We start from the raw sequence: 23,014 nt of genomic DNA on the forward strand, positions 1-23,014 counted from the left end.
TCATGTCACTATCAACATTTTGGTAAAAGCCATTCAACAAGTCTCTAGAAAGTTGCAAACTTTCCCACATCTTTCTATCTTTTTCTGAGGCCTTTAAACTGTATTTTAATTTTAATTTTCTGTGTTAGCCTGTTCTCAGACTGCTATAAAGAACTACCTGATATTGGGTAATTTATAAACAAAAGAAGTTTAATTGACTCACAGTTCTTCAAGCACAAAAGGAAGCATGACTGGGAAGCCTCAGGAAACTTACAATCATGGCAGAAGGCGAAGGGGAAGCAAACACATCTTACCATGGTAGAGCAGGTGAGAGAGAGAAGGAAGGGTGATGTGCCACACTGTTTTAAATGATCAGATCTTCTGAGAACTCACTCACTGTCATTAAAACAGCAAGGATGAAATTTGCCCCAATGATCCAATCACCCCCTACCAGGAACCTCCTTCAATTTGACATGAGATTTGGTCCGGGGCACAAATCCAAGCCATGCCATACACTAAGAGGCAATATGGCAGAGTTAAACTGGTATATAACCTTCTAGAAATATTCAGAATGGTAAGGGAAAAACACGTTAAATGATTATGTGTACAACTATAGTAAACACACTGCACATGAGTCCCCATCAAAGTGCTGGCAGGCCAGTGTGTATGTGGACAACCCATTCCTAGAGAAAAACCAAGGGAGAAGGTATGCAACACCAGAAGCATGCCAATGTGTAAGACCTAAGTCAAAAATAAAATGCTCTACTCGATCTCTGAAGTTGCCCTTTTGGCCCTCTTCCAAGTGTTCTTTCCAACTGTATGTCTTTTCATTCCTGCTCTAAATCGTTTTAATAAATGTTCACTTCTGCTCTAAAACTTCCCTCAGTCTCTCCTCCTGCCCTTCTCCCCACAGTCAAATTCTTTCTTCTGGGGAGGCAAGAATTGAGATTACTACAGACCCACATGAATTCACAACGGCAGGTGGCAAATGTTTCATTTAGTATGTGTTATAGACTTAATGCTTTTGTCACTCTAAAATTCAAATGTTGAAGACTGACCCTCTAATATAATGGTGTTGGAAGGTAGGCCTTAGGTAGGTGATTAGGATTAGATTAGGTCATGAGGTAGAACTCATATGAATGGGATTAGTGTCTTTACAAGGGGCCATAGAGCTTCCTTCCTCTCTCTCTGTAATGTGAGGACACGGAAAAGACTACCTGCTATTAACCAGAAAGCAGGCCCTCGCCATTCAGTGAATCTGCGGGTACTTCAACCTTGGACTTCTCAGTATCCAGAAGTGAGATGTAAATGTTTGTTATTTAAGCCACCTGGTTATAGTATTTTGTTATGGCAGCCTGAATTGTCTCAGATGGTACAGACAAAAATGCTCATTGTTTATGAATTTGTGGATTTGTCTTCTGAATGGTCTTGATAAAGGTAAGGAATCAGATCAGATAATAAATTGCTTGATTTGTAATTACTTAGTCAAATAATTAAGAAATTATTTACTTCTCTTTCTTACCACAAGGATTCTTCACATGCAACATTTCAAGCTTCATATTGTCTAAAATTGTGAATTTAATAAGTTGCGTTTTCTATTACAATGCAAATCTCATCAGACATGCATGTTTGCATAAATTATGGAGCCAACCAATTTTATGCCTCTTTAATAATGCATTCTTAAATTTAGTTTCAAGTTAAGGACAGCATTTGCCTATTGATCATGATGCATTATCCACACTCTGGAAAGCACCAGGCAGTTTTGCATCTTCTCAGTTAATTCTGAATAATTCAGAAAGTTATGTGGGTTGTGTTTATTTTCATTAAGTTTTTAAATACCTACCTGAAAGATAGTGACATGTAATTAACTATACCTAGTTATGATCATGGTACTATTGTTTATCAATTTACCAACATCATGGCTTACAGGCATAACATATATATATTTTTAGTACCATCTTAGAATTATCCTGTAATAGTTATATTGTGCCTTTTATTATATGGTTTCCTACAGAACTCTTTTATGAGGATTTTTTTTCTTTACATTGGCAAACACTATAAAAATATATTCTTGGGTATGAACTCTATATAAAATATGTTATGTTAAAATAGACAAAAGAAATTTCTTTAGACAAATTTGCTTTCTGCAAATGTATTATATTGTTGTTACTGTTATTTTCAAGGCATGGAATAAAATTTTAAAATTATTTTGGCTGGGTTTTCAAATATGAAACAGTTTCAAAATGAACAGAACTGGGGAGTATTTAAGCATAATTTTATGTAAATAGTCAAGAAATGGTATTATACTTTTTTAAAGTAATGTATCAAGCTCCAGGTTATTGCCTTGGAATTAAGTAGGCAAGCAAGAATACCAACCCCAAAGGAAAGCACAGCTGACCCATTTATACAGTCAGCAGACTCATGCACAGGGTAAGAGAGGTGCTTCAATGATAGGCCAAATAAATCTCTATTTCTAATTTTCTAAATTTAAACATGCATTTAATTCAATGTGATCAAAATACATATTATATATTTTTATACAATTTGAAGCTAAGTCTCCTCCAGATAATAATTATTATACTGGAATAAACAAAAATGATTTAATGAAACATATTAAAATACAAATTTTAAAACAGTACACTAGCATTTTGTTGTGGTTTGGACATAAGCCTATCTATTACTATGTAGAAAAATCACCATTGGAAGTAAGTTTAAATTGTAAATGTGTAGCAGAAGAGAACTTTGATGAAAAACTCTTTTTAAGGTTTGTCTTTTTTTGTAATATTGTAACAGATATTTTATTCATTTTCTAAATTGCATAAAGTCAAGTGACTCATTTTTCATTTATTGCTGTTTAGCTAAAGAATCAGTTAACATACAGTATTAATAACAAAATACTTGGCCAGGCGCAGTGGCTCACGCCTGTAATCCCAGCACTTTGGGAGGCCGAGGTGGGCGGATCACTGGGTCAGGAGATCAAGACCATCCTGGCTAACACGGTGAAACCCTGTCTCTACTAAAGATACAAAAAATTAGTCGGGCGAGGTGGCGGGTGCCTGTAGTCCCAGCTACGTGAGAGGCTGAGGCAGGAGAATGGCGTGAACCCCAGGGGGTGGAGCCTGCAGTGAGCCAAGATCGCACCACTGCACTACAGCCTGGGTGAAAGAGAGACTCCTTCTCAAAAAAATACCAAAAACAAAAACAAACAAACAAACAAAAAACAAAAAAAACAGTATATTTTAATCATTTGTTTAACTCTTTAACAAGAGTTTTAAGTTATTTTAATTAAAATTGTTTGGAATTTGTTCTCTGAAAACCTAAACAAACCAAATAAACAAAGAGAAGTATCTTCAGTAAAATAAAATAAAATTGTTCCCACATGGACTAGTGGCTGGAAGAAAATAAAAATAAAATAAATGTATATGCTCTAAGTTAGAATCATTCTCACATTTCTGCACAAAACAAAGCATATCTATGTTACTGGCCTCACCTACCTCTGCTTCCAGCCTATGTATTAACTTGTCACACAATATATTGTGTGATCACAATAACGTAAAATAAACAAAAAAACTGATTGTTTTACTGAAGACCTGAAAACTAATATCTTTCAATATTGTTCTGCTAACACATTAGACTTACTTCCATGAGCTACATACAATCTCAGAGACCTGGTTTGTATTTGGTTACTTTCCTGTAATAGACTAATGTAGCCTGAAGCTTCTAGGGTGAAAATTGTTGAGAAACTTAGAACAATTCAACGTCATTTATATCCATAAATAATCATAAGATTTGAGAGGCTTTGTTTCTAATTTTAATTTTAGAAATGTCCATTTTCACAACACTGTATGCCCACAAGATTATAAAAAGCAATTAGAAAAACAGCAATAAATAAAATCTCAGAAACAACTTATACATCCTGAGAACTTTACATTTAATTCTTATTTGTGGGCGGCTTTACTAAAATGAAAATGTGGACAGGCAAAGTTATCTATCTATCTATGTTTGTGTGTGTGTATATGGAAGAAATTGAAAATAATTATTCTTTTCCTTATGGTTTCTCCATGGGGATATATTATTGTTTTTATATTGCTATGCAGCCATTTTCCATAATATGTGTGAAATATCACAACATAAAATTATTAACCTTAGGCCTCAACTGTTCAAATTGAATGTTTTATCATGTTGAGATTCAAAATATATTGAGTATTTTCAGACTAATTTTAAATATTTGGAGAAAAAATAGTTCAAAATGGTGCTTACTAAGGTATTATTTCAAGCTAGCTTTATAAAATTATGAGGGTAGTCATTTGGAAGTTCAGCACGGAACTTATTTCCTATTGAGGAACCTAATTACCAAACATTTTTGCTCACATTGTCTGAATGTTGTGATCAGAACACATTAAAAAAAAAAAAAACAAGAGATTCAGATATAAGTGAACAACAAGGTACATAAGGTGATGAAAGGTCTCCCATGAAAGCACAAGGCTACAACCATTAAGTATCATCTATGAGAGTACAATCATTTAAAAATCAATGCAAATCTTTTAAAGAGTCAGTGTTCAGTAAAACACAAATGAAACTGCCAGGAAGAATGAGAGATTCTGAATTTTGTATGAGGCAATCTATAAACTACATGGAAAATCATAGGGGGAAAAAAGACTTGAATTATTCAAATTTGTAACAATTATAGGGGTTCAATGTGTCAAAATTGTTGTTATAGGGCATTGCTGCATAATTATGGTAATAGACACACCTCTTTCAAAGTTGATAGAAAATATATAATTTAATTTAAATATTTAAAATATATGCTGATTTTCTTATTGATATTTAAGTACAAAATATTAACAATGGTAAATGTATTTAAAAAGGAAAAAAATGAGCGAATCATCTTATGCTTAGAAATTATTACTTACATGCTATATTAGGCCATTCTTGAATTGCTATAACTGAATACCTGAGATGGAATACACACACACACACACACACACACACATAAACATATATAAACATATATATAAACATATATATATATATATGTTTAATTGGCTTATGGTTCTACAAACTGTAAAGAAAGCCTAGTGGCATCTGCTCAGCTTCTGAGGAAGCCTTAGGAAATGTACAGTCATGGCTGATGACTAAGGGGGAACAGGCACATCACATGGCAAAAGCAGAAGCAGCAGGGTAAGGGGGAGGTGCTACACACATTTAAACAACCAGATCTCACAAGAACTAACTCACTCTCATGAAGACAGCATTACAGGGGATAGTGATAAACTATTTATGAGAAATCCAACCCTATGACCCAATCACCAGCCACCGGGCCCCACCTTCAACACTGGGATTACATTTCAATATGAGATTCCAGTGGGAAACACATCTGAACTATATCACATGCTCAGGGAGTACTAGATTGAACCTCATCTAATATCTAAAATATAAACTAATATTACTATCACTCTTTAACCACAAGCTATTGATTACCTTCATGTGTTAATCAATATTTAATAGATATTTATTATATGTAAAACATTCCCAAGACCAGAGGCGATGTGTGATATTGTGCAAAGTAAAATAAATACGCAGAGCTTATATAATAATGAAAATACAGCTATTTTATGAAATTACATAAATGAATACAATTTGTATAAAAGTTCAAGAAACAATTCAATTAATTGAAGTCAGTAATATCAGGAAAGTCATCATGGAAAAGGAATAATTTAAAATGGACATGGAAGAAAAGGAAAGATTTAGAAAAGGGTTTTAATAGATACACTAGCAGGATGCATCTTGTGACCCAAGGATTGTTTTTCATTTGTCTTTTCACCTTTAGTATCTAATAGTATGTTGCATACAATAGTTGTAATAAATATTTGCTGAATAAACTAATGGTAATCCTGTGTAACCTGGATCAAACTGGGAAATCCTTAAAGGAAGGGGTTAGTTGAGTCCTGTAATAATTGAAACATAAGTTTGATAATTGTTAGACCAGAAAAGGAACTATAAAAGACAGATTGTGATAGCGTCGTCTCAGTATCTTCTGACATATACTGAAAGAAATATATTTGAAAAAATTTAATCCTTCAAATTATTGAACATACACAAAGAATATTAAATTGAACAAATAAGAAACAAACATATATACATATTACTTCTATGGCATGTAATGTGTTCAAGTGTGAAGGACATACATGAGAACGAAGATATTTCTAGGCTTGAACTTGATCTAGAATGATATGGTATTTGTATGGTTAGAAGTGGAAAGGATGGAAATTTCAGGTACAGAAAAGGTAGAAACCAAGAGTAAATACATAAAAATTGTATGTCTCTAATTATGAGAGCATAAATAATGAATCTATATAGAATAAAGAGTATGAGTGAAGTGGAAAGTGACGTAGATAAATTGAACAAGATAGATAATAGAGACTAGTGAAAATTAAAATATAGCATATATTCAGTAAGAAAGAGCAACTTTCAATGTAGGATGCATTGCTTTTTGCTTGGAGAAAGATTTACTGTTGAGATTCCCAAAGGTAAAGTGACTTATCAAGAGAGGTAAGAAGAAAAGAGCTAAACCCTACATTTTATATTCTGGGAAAGAGTAAACGAACACGACTAATTAAGGAAATTGGCAGAATGAAATACCGTATTTCCTTCCCTTAATTTTTTTAAACCAGGATAGCTCTCCTTATGTCTAAAGACAGAAGGAAAGGAAACAATGAAATTGGAAAGAATGCCAAGATTTGGAAGAGGAAAAAGATATGAGTGATTTGCTATTCATAAAAATTAACATCAAATCTATGAGAAAGTGAAATAAAGTACAAAGAGAAGTTTATTTTCAAATGTTTACTAAGTGCCAATATGTCTCAGCAATCTCAAAATTTTGAAAAGTAGCTACAATTCTATTTTTCAAAGGAAAATTCAGCCTATTTTTAAGGAAGAGTTTACTAGAAGAGAAAATAACTTAATCACAAGTTGGAAAATCCAGATGATTTTCTATTTACAATGGTTCAACTTATTATTTTTCAACTTTACTTAATTTTTAAAATATTTTTATAATACTTTAAGTTCTGTGATACATGTGCAGAACATACAGGTTTGTTACATAGGTATACATGTGCCACGGTGGTTTGCTGCACCCGCCAACCTGTCAACTATATTAGGTATTTTTCCTAATGCTATCCCTCCTGTTGGACCCCACACCCTGACAGGCCCCATTTTGTGACCTTCCCCTCCCTGTGCCCATATGTTCTCATTGTTCAATTCCCACTTATGAGTGAGAACATGTGGTGTTTGGTTTTCTGTTCTTGTGTTAGTTTGCTGAGAATGATGGTTTCCAGTTTCATCCATGTCTCTTGCAAGGACATGAACTCATCCTTTGTATAGCTGCATAGTATTCCATGGTGTATATGTGCCACATTTTCTTTACCAGTTATCATCAATGGGCATTTGGGTTGGTTCCAAGACATTGCTACTGTGAATAGTGCTGCAATAAACATAGTGTGCACATCTCTTTATAGAATAATTTCTGATCCTTTGGTTATATACCCAGTAATGGAATTGCTGGGTCAAATGGTATTTCTGGTTCTAGATCCTTGGGAATCACCACAGTCTTCCACAATGATTGAACCAACTTACACTCCTACCAACAGTGTAAAAATGTTCCTATTTCTCCACATCCTCTCCAGTATCTATTCTTTCCTGATTAATGATCACCATTCTAAATGGCATGAGATGATATCTCATTGTGGTTTTGATTTGCATTCCTGTAAAGACCAGTGATAATGAGCTTTTATTCATATGTTTGTTGGCCACATAAATGTCTTCTTTTGAAAAGTGTCTGTTCATATTCTTTGCCTACTTTTTGATTAGGTTGTTTTTTGTTTCTTGTAAATTTGTTTAAGTTTCTTATAGATTCTGGATATGAGCCCTCTGTCAGATGGGTAGATTGAAAAAATTTTCTCCCATTGTCTAGGTTGCCTGTTCACTCTGATGATAGTTTCTTTCACTGTGCAGAAGCTCCTTAGTTTAATTAGATCTCATTTGTCAATTATGACTTTTGTTGCAATAGTTTTTGGTGTTTTAGTCATGAAGTCTTTGCCCATGACTATTTCTTGAAAGGTATTGCGTACGTTTTCTTCTAGGGATTTTATGGTTTTGGGTCTTATGTGTAAGTCTTTAATCCATCTTGAATTAATTTTTGTATAAGGTGTAAGGAAGGGATCCAGTTTCAGTTTTCTGCATATGGCTAGCCAGTTTTTCCAGCACCATTTATTAAATAGGGAATCCTTTACCCATTGCTTGTTTTTGTCTGGTTTGTCAAAGATCAGATGGTTGTAGATGTGTGGTGTTATTTCTGAGGCCTCTGTTCTGTTCCATTGGTCTAGATCTCTGTTTTGGTACCAGTACCATGCTGTTTTGATTACTGTAGCCTTATAGTGTAGTTTGAAGTCAGGTAGTGTAATGCATTCCAGCCTTTTTTGTTTGTTTGTTTTGGCTTGAGATTGTCTCGGCTATATGAGCTCTATTTTGTTTCCCTATGAAATTTAAAGTACTTTTTTCTAATTCTGTGAAGAAAGTCAATGGTAGCTTGATGGGAATAGCATTGAATCTATAAATTACTTTGGGCAGTATGGCCATTTTCATGATATCGATTCTTTCTACCCATGAGCATGGAATGCTTTTCCATTTTTTGTGTCCTCTGTTATTTTCTTGAGCAGTGGTTGGTAGTTCTTGAAGAGGTGCTTCACATCTCTTGCAAGATGTATTCCTAGGTATTATATTCTCTTTGTAGCAATTGTGGATGGGAGTTCACTCATGACTTGGCTGTTTGTCTACTGTTGGTGTATAGGAGTGCTTGTGATTTTTGCACACTGATTTTGTATCCTGAGACTATGCTGAAGTTGCTTATTAGCTGAAGAAGTTTTTGGGTTGAGATGATAGAGTTTTCTAAATGTACAATTATGTCATCTGCAAACAGAGACAATTTCACTTCCTTTCTTGCTATTTGAATACCCTTTATTTCTTTCTCTTGCCTGAATGCCTTGGATAGAACTTCCAATACTATGTAGAATAGAGTGCTGAGAGAGGGCATCCTTGTCTTTTGCCTTTTTTCAAAGGGAAGACTTCCAGCTTTTGCCCATTCAGTATGATATTGGCTGTGGGTCTGTCATAAATAGCTCTTATTATGAGATATGTCCATCAATACCTAGTTTATTGAGAGTTTTTAGCATGAAGGGCTGTTGAATTTTGTTGAAGGCCTTTTCTGCATCTATTGAGATAATTATGTGGTTTTTGTCATTGGTTCTGTTTATATGATGGATTACATTTATCAATTTGCATATGTTGAACCAACCTTGCACCCAAGGGATTAAGCCGACTTGTTTGTGGTGGATAAGCTTTTTGATGTGCTGCTGATTTTGGTTTGCCAGTATTTTATTGAGGAATTTCACATCTGTGTTCATCAGGGACATTGGCCTGAAATTTTCTTTTTTGTTGTGTCTCTGCCAGGTTTTGGTATCAGGATGATGCTGGCCTCATAAAATGAGTTAGGGAAGAGTCCCTCTTTTTCTATATTTTGGAATAGTTTCAGAAGAAATGGTATCAGCTCCTCTTTGTATCTGGTAGAATTCAGCTGTGAATCTGTCTTTCCCTGGGCTTTTTTTGGTTGGTAGGCTATTAATTACTGCCTCAATTTCAGAACTTGTTGTTGGTCTATTCATGGATTCTACTTCTTCCTTGTTTAGTCTTGTGGAGGTGTATGTGTCCAGGAATTTATCCATTTCTTCTAAATTTTCTAGTTTGTTTGCATAGAGTTGTTTACAGTATTCTCTGATGGTAGTCTGTATTTCTGTGGAATCAGTGGTGATATCCCCTTTATCATTTTTTATTGTATCTATTTGATTCTTCTCTCTTTTCTTCTTTATTAGTCTGGCTAGCAATCTATTTTGTTAATCTTTTCAAAAAATCAGCTCCTGGATTCATTGATTACTTGGAGGGTTTTCATGTCTTCATCTCCTTCTGTTCTGCTCTGATCTTAGTTATTTTTTGTCTTCTGCTAGTTTTTTAATTTGTTTGTTCTTGCTTCTCTAGTTCTTTTCATTTTGATGTTTGGGTGTCAATTTTAGATCTTTCCCGCTTTCTCATGTGGGCATTTAGTGCTATAAATTTCCCTCTACACACTACTTTAGCTGTGTTTCAGAGATTCTGGTACATTGTGTCTTTGTTCTCAGTGGTTTCATATAACTTATTTATTTCTGCCTTAATTTCATTATTTACCCAGTAGTCATTCAGGAGCAGGTTGCTCAGTTTCCATTTAGTTTTGTGGTTTTGAGTGAGTTTCTTAATCCTGAGTTCTAATTTGATTACACCATGGTCTAAGTGACTGTTTGTTATGATTTGTGTTCTTTTGCATTTGCTGAGGAGTGTTTTACTTCAAAATATTTGGTCAATTTTAGAAAGAGTTCTATGTGGTGCTGAGAAGAATGTATATTCTGTTGATTTGGTTTGGAGAGTTCTGTAGATGTCTATTAGGTCTGCTTGGTCCAGAACTGATTTCAAGTCCTGAAAATCCTTGTTAATTTTCTCTTTCATTGATCTGTCTAATATTGACAGTGCATATTAAAGTCTCTCAATATTATTGTTTGGGAGTCTAAGTCTTTTTGTAGGTTTCTAAGAACTTGCTTTATGAATCTGGAGGGCCCTGTATTGGGTGCATATATTTTTAGGATAGTTAGCTTTTCTTGTTGCATTGATCCCTTTACCATTATGTAACGCCCTTCTTTGTCTTTTTTTAATCTTTGTTGGTTTAAAGTCTTTTTTATCAGAGACTAGTATTGCAACCCCTGCATTTTTTGCTTTCCATTTGCTTAGTAAATATTCCTCCATCTCTTTATTTTGAGCCTATATGTGTCTTTGCACATGAGATGGGTCTCCTGAATACAGCACACTGATGGGTCCTGACTTTTTATCCAATTTGCCGGTCTGTCTTTTAATTTGGGCATTTAGCCCATTTACATTTAAGGTTAATATTGTTATGTGTTATTCGATACTGTCATTATGATGCTAGCTGGTTATTTTTCCCATTGGTTGATGAAGTTTCTTCATAGTGTCATTGGTCTTTACATTTTGGTGTTTTTGAAGTGGCTGGTGCCAGGTTTTTTTCCTTCCCATATTTAGTGCTTCCTTCAGGAGCTCTTGTAAGGCAGGCCTGGTGGTGACAAAATCTCTCAGCATTTACTTCTCTGTAAATAATTTTATTAGCTTGGCTGGATATAAAATTCTGGGTTGAAAATTGTTTTCTTTACGAATGTTGAATATTGTCCCCCTCTGTCTTCTGGCTTTTAGGGTTTCTGCAGAGAGATCTGCTGTTAGTCTAATGGGATTCCCTTTGTGAGTAACCCAACATTTCTCTCTGGCTGCCCTTAACATTTTTTTCTTTATTTCAACCTTGGTGAATCTGATGATTATGTGTGTTGGGATTACTCTTCTTGAGCACTATCTTCCTGGTATTGTCTGTATTTCCTGAATTGGAATGTTGTCCTGTGTTGCTAGGCTGGGGACTTTCTCCTGAAATGTGTTTTCCAACTTGGTTCCATTCTCCCTGTCACTTTCAGATACACCAATCAAACTTAGGTTTGGTCTTTTCACATAGTGCCATATTTCTTGGAGGCTTTGTTTGTTCCTTTACCTTCTTTTTTCTCTAATCTTGTCTTCATGCTTTATTTCATTAAGTTGATCTTCAATCTCTGATATCTTTTCTTCTGCTTGATCGATTTGGCTATTGATACTTGTCTATGCTTCATGAAGTTCTCGTGCTGTATTCTGAGCTCCAACAGGTCATTTATGTTCTTCTCTAAACTGGTTATTCTAGTTAGTAGTTCCTGTAACTTTTTATCAAGGTTCCTAGCTTCCTTGCTTTGGGTTAGAACATGATCCTTTAGCTCAAAGGAATTTGTAATTATCCACCTTCTGAAGCCTACTTCTCTCAATTCATCAAATTCACTCTCTGTCCAGTTTTGTTCCCTTGCTGGTGAGGAGTTGTGATCCTTTGGAGGAGAAGAGGCATTCTGGTTTTAGGAATTTTCAGCCTTTTTATGCTGTTTTATTCTCATTTTCTTGGATTTATCTACCTTTGGTCTTCGATGTTGGTGACTTCAGATGGGGTTTCTGCATGGGCATCTCTTGTTGATGTTGACACTATTGCTTTCTGTTTGTTATTTTTTCTCCTAACAGTCCAGCCCCTCTTCTGCAGGTCTGCTGGAGTTTGCTAGAGGTCCACTCCAGAACCTTTTATGCCTGGGTATCAACAATGGGTGCTGCAGCACAGCACAGGTTGCTGCCTGCTTCTTCCTCTGGAAGCTTCATCCCAGAGGGAGGGGCGCTCACCAGATCCCAGCCAGAGCTCTCATATATGAAGTGTCTGTCGACCCCTGCTGGGAGGTGTTACCCAGTAATGAGGAACGGGGATCAGGGACCCACTTAAGGAGCCAGTGTGTCTGTTAGCAGAGCTCAAGCACTATGCTTGAAGATCTGCTGCTCTCTTCAGAGCCAGCAGGCAGGAATGTTTAAGTCTGCTGAAGGTGAGCCCACTGCTGCCCCTACCCCCAGGTGCTGGGTCACAGGGAGATGGGAGTTTTATCTATAAGTCTCTGTCTGGGGCTGCTGCCTTTCTTTCAGAGATGCCCTGCCCAGAGAGGAGGAATCTAGAGATGCAGTTTGGCTACAGCGGCTTTGCTGCACTACAGTGGGTTCCACACACAGTTCGAACTTCCTGGAGGCTTTGTTTACAATGTGAGGAGAAAACCACCTACTTAAGCCTCGGCTCTCTCCCCACCAAGTTCAAATATCCCAGGTCGACTTCAGACTGCAGTGCTGCAATTGAGAATTTCATCCCAGTGGATCTCAGCTTGTTGGGCTCCATGGGGGTGGGATCTGCTAAGCAAGACCACCTGGCTCCCTGGCTTCAGCCTCCTGTCCAGGGGAGTAAACAGTTCTGTCTCACTGGCATTCCAGGCATCACTGGGGTATGAAAAAAAACTCCTGCAGGTAGCTCCTTTTCTGCCCAAACAGCTGCTCAGTTTTGTGCTTGAAACCTAGGGCCCTGGTGGTGTAGCCACCCAAGGGAATCTCCTGGTCTGTGGGTTGCAAAGACCATGGGGAAAGCGTAGTATCTGGGCCGGACAGTGCCGTCCCCCATGGCTTCCCTTGGCTAGGGGAGTCCCAGTCCCTCATGGCTTCCCTTGGCTAGGGGAGGGAGTTCCCTGACCCCTTGTGATTCCTGGGTAGCGCAATGCCCCACCCTGCTTCTGCTAGCCCTCCATGGGCTGCACCCACCGTCTAAGCAGTCCCAGTGAGATGAACCTGGTACCTCAGTTTGAAATCCAGAAATCACCTACCCTCTGCATTGGTCTTGCTGGGAGCTGCAGACTGGAGCTTTTTGCGTTCGGCTGTCTTGCCCGGGAATCCTTATTTTTCAACTTTATAATGATGCAAAACTGTTGCAAATTTGATGTAATATATTTCAACAAATTATACTTAAGATATTCAACACTTTATTATAAAATAAGCTTTTTGCTAGATGATTTTGCCCAACTGTAGGCTAATATAAATGTTCTGAGATGTTTAAGGTAGGCTAGTGTAAGCTATTATGTATCTTGTAGGCTAGATATATTAATTACATTTTTGACTATATTTTCAACTTACAATGGGTTTATCAGAACACATCACATTTTAAATTGAGGAGCATTTGTATAATAAAATACAAGCATTTATATTTAAAAATGATTTAAATATGAAATAAATCATTTTAAAATATAAATGCTTGTCTTTTCTTAGACAAATACCTCATTTGCTGAATGAGATAAAATGTCAAGAACTTAGATGCTAAGAAATAATTTTACAGAGATTAATTAAAGCAAATACTTTAATAATTTAGTAGATACCATGTTCCCAAATGAGAAATATCAGAATTATAAAGATATTAGAAGTTTTAAAATTATGTATATATAATATAAACTATATAAAATATGGTTGTTGTTGTTGTTGCTGTTGTTAACTTCATTTCCAATCAAAATCTTACAAAACCTCTGGCCTCAGGATTTCTCTCTCTCTTGGCAATAAGGTCTAATTGAATGACAGCATTGTCTAGCTTGAGCTCCTCTTTAGAGTGGTGCTGCCAATTAAAGAAAAGAATTGCAGGCAGCCTCAAATATGTATAATTGGAATTTCTGAAGAAAGACTAAAGGAAGAAAAATATTTGAGAAAATACTGGCTACAAATTTTCTAAGTTTGGAAAATACAAACACACAGATCTATATACCTCAACACACCCAAAGCCCAGGAAATAGGAGCCCCAAGAACTAAACCACAAAATAAAATTGTGCTAAGCTATAAAAAGAAAATATTAATGGCAGCTAGAGAAAAAAGCATGTCAGATTTCTCATGAAAACACAAATCAAAGTGAAAAAAAAAAAAGACAAACATTTTTAAAGTACTGAAAGAAAACGTTCAGCCAGGCCCAGTGGCTCACACCCATAATCCCAATGCTTTGGGAGGCCCAGGCAGATGGATCACCTAAGGTCGGGAGTTCACGACCAGACTGACTAACATGGATAAACTCTGTCTCTACTAAAATACAAAATTAGCTGGGTGTGGTGGCTCATGCCTGTAATCCCAGCTATTCGGCAGGCTGAGGCAGGAGAATCGCTTGAACCCAGGAGGCGGAGGTTGTGGTGAGCCGAGATCGTGCCATTGCACTCCAGCCTGGGCAACAAGAGTGAAACTCCATCTCAAAAAAAAAAAAAAAAAAAAAGGAAAAGAAAAGAAAAGAAAACTTTGTATTAAACTATAATTTTGTAACTAGCAACAATATATTCACTAAACAAATATATAAAATTTTTCCAGACAAAAAAAAAAATCTGAAAGAACTTATTATCACAGATTGATCTGTAAAATTTTTAGTCCTTCAGTTAGAAGGAACATAATACCGTAGTGAAATATGGATGTATACAAAGGAATTAAGAATACAAAAAATAATTTATATGAATAAATATATAATATTTTTATTACTGAAATCTTTAAAAAACTCACTATTTAAACAAAAATAATAACAAAGTAATGTGTGTTTTTTAATGTTAAATGTAAATAACACCACAAGAACAGGAGACAAGAAATGGAAGCAAAGTATTGTAAACGTTTGATACTTTACATAAAGTGGTACAAGATATTTTTAAGGTAGATTATAATAAGTTATGATGTATACAATAAAAGCTAAAGAAATGATTAAAATAAAAAAGTTATAACTAATAAGTTAATAGAATCATAAAACTACCCAATCAAAAAGAAGGCAGAGAAAAAGAGAGATATATTTTTTAAAAAGATGGGACAATAAGAAAACAAATACCAAAATGGTAGAATAAAATATAACCATATCAATAATCACATTAAATATAAACCACCCAATACCCCCAGTTAAAAGGCACATTTTTAGAGTTGAATGAAAGGAAACAAACAAACCATAGACACAAAATATAGCCAATTGTCAACCACCATATGTAGCCCACGAAATGCAATTTAAATAGAAAGATGCAGATAGATAAAAGCATTGGAAATATATATTATGCTACAACTAATAAAAATAAATTTGGAGTGGCTATACTAACATCAGACAAAGTAGATTTCAGATAATTAAATATTGCCAGGTATAAAAAAGATCAATTGGTAATGTGATAGAGTCAATTCATCAAAAGGAGGGAACAACATGATTAGTTTTGTACCTCATAACAGAGATTCAAAATTCATAAAACAAAATTTTATAGCACTATTAAAGAAATAATTGTATTCACAATTCAAACATGTAGGTAGAAAATCAGTAAAGACATGGAAGATTGAACAAAATTATCCAACTACTTGACCTGATATTTTAGAATGTTTCACCTAACAATAGCATAATGCATATTATTTTCATATGCACATGAAACATTTCCCGTCCTGGACCTGAGACAAAAAACGAATCTCAAAAAATGTCAAGGGATTCATGTCATATAAAGAGTATTCGCGTAATAAAGTAGAATGAAATTAGAAATCAATCATAGAAAAATACTGAGAAAATCTCTAAATATTTGGAAACATAAAAAACCCATGAGTCAAAGAAGAAATAAAAAAGGCAATTAGAAAGTATTTTGAACCAAAGTAAGAATAAAATAAAATATAGCAATATATGTGGAATGTTAATAAAGCAATATATTAAAGCAGCCTGAAATATATGAGATATATTGTGTCTGTGTGTTGGAATACTCTATATTTCTAGGATATAAGAATCTTTTCAAATTGTTATATAGATTTAGTGCAATCCCATTTACTATTACTGCAGGCTTTCTTTTTTAGAAATTACATGCAGATTTTAAAACTCATATGGGAATACAAAGGACTTGCAATGGTCAAAACAACTTTGAAAATGAACAAAGTTGAAGAGCAATACTGCCTTATTTCAAGATTCATTACAAAGCTTCAGTAGTCAAGACTGTGTGGGCTGGGCAGGGCATGCCAATAGACAAATAGATCAACAGAGCAAAATAGAGAGTCCAGAAATAGAGCCACATACATAAAAGAAACAAAGATTTATTCATAAATGTTCAGAGAAACTAGCAAAAAAATTGGAAACAAATGTCGATCTACAGGAGAATGGATAAAGAAATCATGTTATATGTATACAATAAGCCAGACAGCAGTAAAAATGAACTATCAATACATGAAACAACATGTATGAATCTCAAACTAATTATGCTGAGTGAAAGAAGACAGATTAAAAAAAAGTACACATTATGGTTGCATGTATATGGAACTCCAGAAAATGCAAATTAATGTATAGTGACAGAAGGCAGATTTGTGGTGACCTAGGGCTGGAGAGGGCTGGAACAGTGGAGAAAGATGAAAGGGATTATAAAGGAGTATGAGGAAATTTTGGGGGGTAACGGGCATTCTTATTATTTTGGATGTAGAAATGATGCCACAGGTATATATAGATAGATAGTAGAATATATTTCAAAACTTATCAAATTTTAACATTAAAAAATGCAGGAATTTTTGTGTGAAATAAAACCAAATAAAGCTATTAAAAAAAGTTACCACTCCCATAAACTTTGTAAACCAAATTAAGAAATAAATAAATAAGACATTGAAAAATATAGACAAAATAAGACATTGATGAATAAAGAAATGACATATCACAGCTACTTTTAGGCTCCTCCCAACGCGTAAAACAAGCAAAACACCAGATATCTTGGCATAAAAATGGATTCCCTGACTATGAAATGACTTTTTCCTTGCATCTACTTTCTGTCTTCCATGAGAAATTGCTATTTTTGCCTGAGGTCCCAAAAACTAATGGCAAAGGAAGCACACAGGACAATTTAGGGGAACAAGTCATTTTCAAGAATTATTTGGGAAGGATTCTTAAGTTACTTTACATAGGGTGTTTTTTCAAAAAAAGAAAAACATGACTCAGGAAATGCCCTTTGCAGAGCAAGCTTTCTATTTTCTTACTCTTAATGTCTTACAGGCAAGAAAACCTTGATCTAACAAACTGAAATTAGATAAACTGTGGTTGTCACTTTTATTTTGTCAGATCAATGTGTTGAATAAATTTATGCAGCATCCAATTCCAAACCTAATATTGTGCAAACATAGGCCACTTTCTCTAAAGATCAGAAAATACAGAAACATCAGTAGAGATGTAAAAAAAAACCCACTTCCAAACAAATGTACAATGCTAAGAAAACAAAGTAACAAATTCCTTCATAAAATAGAATAAAAATTTAAATAAACAGATGATATTAATTGCATTTTCCTGTGATCTTGAATCAGAAATGAGGAGTTTTGACAAGAGACAGATTGTGCAATGCAATAGACAGTGCATGACATATCATATATTATTTTTTTAAAAGTCAATATTAGACATTATTTTAGAATTTTTAAGAGAAATAATAAGATACCAAAAATAAAGCAGACACAGAATATATGATCAAATATCCATGAAACAGTAATTCTGGGAGAGAGAATAGTCAGAGAAGTAAAAATCAAAGTAATACAAACAGAGATTCCTATGCAGAATCAACACAATACTTTATAACGAGGAAATTCAGCAAGTACTGGTGGTATTAAGATGCCCACACTTAAAAATTATTTTGTTGAAGTTTTCACTTTCCAAATCTCAGATAAACTACAATTATACAGAGGAAAAAACACAATGTATCAGTGAATAGAAAATAAATACATTTTTTAAATGCATTGGAATTATCATAGTGAACCAGATCCTGGTGTAGATTTTGCACGTGGAAATTAGTGAATTCCAAAATATAGTTTTCAGAATATCCCTCTGGTTTATCTGTGATAGACCAGCACCCTTCATTGAAGTGGAAGTAAAGCAGGAGGGATGAATTTGTAAGTAGAATAATGCAAAATAATTTAAAGTGGTCTCTGATGAATTTGTGAGGCTTCTAGGCTGGAATTTCCAGATGTTACATTATAAATTGGTTTTAGGAAGTGATAAAATTATTTAAACTGTGGAGTGGATAAATTAGTTTCCTTGAACATTAAAATTTTAATTTGTTTTATTTCTTTTTATTATACTTTAAGTTCTGGGGTATGTGTGCAGAACGTGCAGTTTTGTTACATAGGTAAACATGTGCCATGGTGGTTTGCTGCACCCATCAACCTGTCACCTACATTAGGTATTTCTCCTAATGTTATCCCTCCCCAGCCCCCCTCCCCCGACAGGCCCCAGTGTGTGATGTTCCCCTCCCAATGTCCATGTGTTCTCATTGTTCAGCTCCCACTTATGAGTGAGAACATGCAGAGTTTGGTTTTCTGTTCTTGTGATAGTTTGCTGAGAATGATGGTTTCCAGCTTCATCCATGTCCCTGCAAAGGACATGAACTCTAATCACTTACTTCATTTTAATTTATTCCATTGAGTGCTTATTCTATACCTGATTTTAATTTGAATTTTTTAAATAAACTATCTAATGTAATCATTGTAATAAAACTTAGTAGTGGGGATTACTATCTCCATCTTAAATGAGAAAACTGATATTCCAATTTTATGTTGAGGTCTTTGGTAGGTAATTCACGTAATTTGACTAGGGCCTGAGTTTTAACAGCATTCTTTTATTTTATTATTATACTTTAAGTTTTAGGGTATGTGTGCACAACGTGCAGGTTAGTTACATATGTATACATGTGCCATGTTGGTGTGCTGCACCCATTAACTCATCATTTAACATTAGGTATATCTCCTAATGCTATCCCTCCCCCCTCCCCCCACCCCACAACAGGTCCCGGTGTGTGGTGTTCCCCTTCTTGTGTCCATGTGTTCTCATTGTTCAATTCCCACCTATGAGTGAGAACATGCAGCATTCTAACTGGTGATTTTACCATTAATCATTGCTCCCTGATGCCATTTTCCACATTGAATCTTGACTGATGTTCCCACTGCCTTCAAGATAAAGTCCAAATACCATCATCTATTCTCTTCAAAATCTGGCCTTCCTCTTACTTATTTCCTGAAATGTTCTATACCTCTCTCTTCTACAGAAACCTCAGTGTCAGATTTTGACACACTGAGCTGTACTCTTTTGATCAGCTTTGCACTTGCAAACAGGTTCTTCTGCTTTGAATCCCTGTCTTTTGTCTCACACCAGGCTACATTCTGTGAACCCAAAGTATCTGAGACAGGTCTCAGTCAATTTAGAAAGTGTATTTTGCCAAGGTTAAGGATGTGCCTGTGACACAGCCTCAAGAAGTCCTGACAACATGTGCCCAAGGTGCTCAGGGTACACCTTGCTTTTATACATTTTAGGGAGGCAGAATACATCAATCAATACATGTAAGATATACATTGACTCGATCTGGAAGGACGGGGTGGGACAACTTGAAGATGGGGGGGGTTCCAGGTAATAGGTGGATTTATAAATGTTCTGACTGGCAATTGGTTGAAAGAGTTATTATTAGTAGAAAGAAATGTCTGGGTTATGATAAAAGGTGGTGGAGATCAAGGTTTTATCACGCAGATGAAGCCTCCAAGCAGTAGGCTTCAGAGAGAGCACATTGAGAATGTTTCTTATCACACATAAGGTCTGTGATGATGTTAATACTGGAGGGGTATAATGAGGCATACTGGAACTCCTCTTCCATCACGGCCTTAACTAGTATTTCAGGTTAACTCTGGAATGTCCTTGGCTGAGAGGAGGGGTCTATTCAGATGAGTGGGGGCCTTAGAAGTTTGTTTTTGATTTACAGTTTCATTCAGCTTTTGGGACTATTGCAAAGGTCATTTTCTCTAAGAAGTGTTCTCTTCCTCTCCTGAATTTCAAATAGATATCACCTCCTGTTTCCACTCTTTTCATACCTGTGTCACTGTACTTTTTACACTATACTGTAGCTTTTGCTTTATTTTCCCTTTCTCCATTAATAGATCTTAAAATCCCTGAGATTATTTTCTATAATTTAGAAATTGTTTTTAATCTCTAGTGTTTGACACATTGTTAGACATAATAAATGCTCAACTAGTATTTATTGAAAAGTAGATTACAAACAGAAACTTAAAAGGAAAATTTATGTAAGTTGATAACTTTAGAAACAATATTTCAACAGTAATTGGAAAAGGCATATTTAAGCAAATGCACATTGAAAAGTCTATAAAATATTAGAAGTTAAACAGAAAATACAAAAATATTTTTCCAAATGTATAAGTAAATTAATAATGTTATTACAGGAAAAACATAATAATTAGACTTCTAAGACAATAAAAAATATAGAAAATTAGATGAAGACACTTTTCACAATTAGGTAAATAAAACATTTAGTTAATAATATGCAAAATATTCAACACATTAAGAATCAAGATATATAATTTTGATCTAAGTAGCAACTATTAAACAATTTCATTTGTTACAGTGATGCACAAGCTGGGCAGTACTTTTCATGAACTCATAGTGGGACTATAAATAAGAATGGACTTGGTACTGATGGGACTTACAGCATGCTACCCCAAAATATGGCAACATGGCATACTGAGTATGCCAGTATTAAAATACTCAGTATGCCAGGGTACCATATTTTGGGGTAGCTGAAGGAATTAGAGAGTCATAGAAGCAGTACGTTCCCGTGAAGCTTTTGCTGCCCTTCTATCCTCAACTAGGTCATAAAACTTAGAAATAATTCTCTGATTGTCCCCTGGAACAAGTAATAAGATTTTCATGTGAGAGATGCCCGCCCTATACCTAGAGAAAAGGAGTGTCATTATCCTGGAAAACACAGGGATATAGAGAAGAATCTAAACAAACAGGCCTGGATAAGTTCCCCTCAGCTATTACTATTAGATCATACCACTTTTTGTCCAATCAGACTTCTCTACAACTGTCTGCTCTTCATCAAACCTATGCGTAAAAACATATAGGACTCCCTGTTTCTTTAGGTCTTCATTTATAAGGTTTCTGTGCCAGGTAAAACTTGAATAAATTTGTATGTTTTTCTCATGTTAATCTGTTTTTGTCAGTTTTATTTTCAGAACCATCTTGGGACCTTAACAGGGTAGAGGAAAACCCTCCTCCCCTACATTACAAATAATATAATTATATATCTAAAGCATTAAGTTTCTAACAATCTTGAACCAGTTTTATCTTAGTAATAAATTACTTTTAAAATGGCAAAATGCATTCCAAAATATGTAGACAAAGATGATCATTGAAAGGTTATTTATCATAAGAAAATTAGAAACCATTCTCATGTTTGATATTAACAGTAATTTTGAGTAAATTGTATATATGTCAGTGTAACGGAATTATATAATACTATAATATTATACCTATATTATAATATACATAAAAAAATTTCAAAAATTATGTTCTGTGAAAGTTGCATATATTATGTAAATTAAAACACATATGCAAGTAATAAAGAATATTAACAATTATGTCTACAAAATAGTAAGGATTATGAATCCTAAATTTTTATTTTTTTAAATATTTTTTCTCTATTAAGTATATTTAATGATCAGAAGAAGAGTAGGCTTAACACCTAATAAAAAAGGATAATATAATTATGGAAATCAGGAAAAAGTAAATAGCATGAACTATGAAATATCTTTACATTCTAAACATTAATTCATTGAACAACTTTTGTGTTTGCCACTCAGAATGTTATAAATATAAAATCAAACAATTGAGAGTCCCTGGAATTCAGGCTTCTAGTGTCTAGCAGATTATATATGTATATCTGAAAAGAAATTGTAAGACCATTGAAATAATCAAATGCCAAATGGGCGTAACAGAGCCACATCCAAATAATTACTATAGCTACATCATCTAAATAAAAAATAATCTTTACTATGTCATGTAACTAAATACATGCACACAAACATATGGATAGAAAACAGTGATCAAATGTACAAACAACAAAAGTTAGTTATAACCAGCAGAGAATCACCACAAAATGGCAGATATATTCTGCCAATTAGGAAGAAAATGTTCTTCTAGGTTATATAAGGTGATCCTACTGTTTGTTCCCACAAAAGGGAATTCTGCATAGAATACTGTATTATTCTGACAACTGATTAGCATTTTGATGTGCTCAAAATTTGTTCACATGAAAATGAATTATTAAGGCAGACAGCAATTCAAAGTAACAGATGAAACTATTGCACAAGAATTTTTTCTATATTTTTAAATAATTGGTTGCCAAAGAATATACTCAAGGTTAATTCTTCCTTCTCTGATTACCGCAGAGGTAAAGCTGTGACCAATATAAAAAAAAATTATATTGAGACAAAAGTATTCCTTCTGTCAATTTAGTCTGCTAAAAGTTAAAACAAAACCCAGGCATTATCTTTTTGTTTAGTAAATAATGATAAAATATTATATCTCAAGATTATCAGAGAGTGTTGATATTTTCTTTTACATAGTAGAGACAAAAAATGAAAATATCATAAAATAATATATTTTGTTAGTAAAAGTATCTTGAAACTTGTAAATTATATTTCT

General features: G+C 34.5%; 1 long non-coding RNA gene and 1 other non-coding gene across 3 annotated transcripts in view; both read right to left on the reverse strand.

Annotated features, from left to right (window-relative positions):
* LOC102724419 (uncharacterized) overlaps positions 1-23,014 on the reverse strand; it is a 169,359-nt gene that overhangs the window by 122,261 nt on the left and 24,084 nt on the right. The window lies entirely within an intron of this gene.
* MIR1263 (microRNA 1263) lies at positions 21,017-21,102 on the reverse strand. The gene has a single exon (NR_031665.1). It is a non-coding gene; the product is annotated as a microRNA 1263 (primary transcript).

Source organism: Homo sapiens, chromosome 3 (genome assembly GCF_000001405.40).
Source record: "Homo sapiens chromosome 3, GRCh38.p14 Primary Assembly".
NCBI lineage: Eukaryota > Metazoa > Chordata > Mammalia > Primates > Hominidae > Homo > Homo sapiens.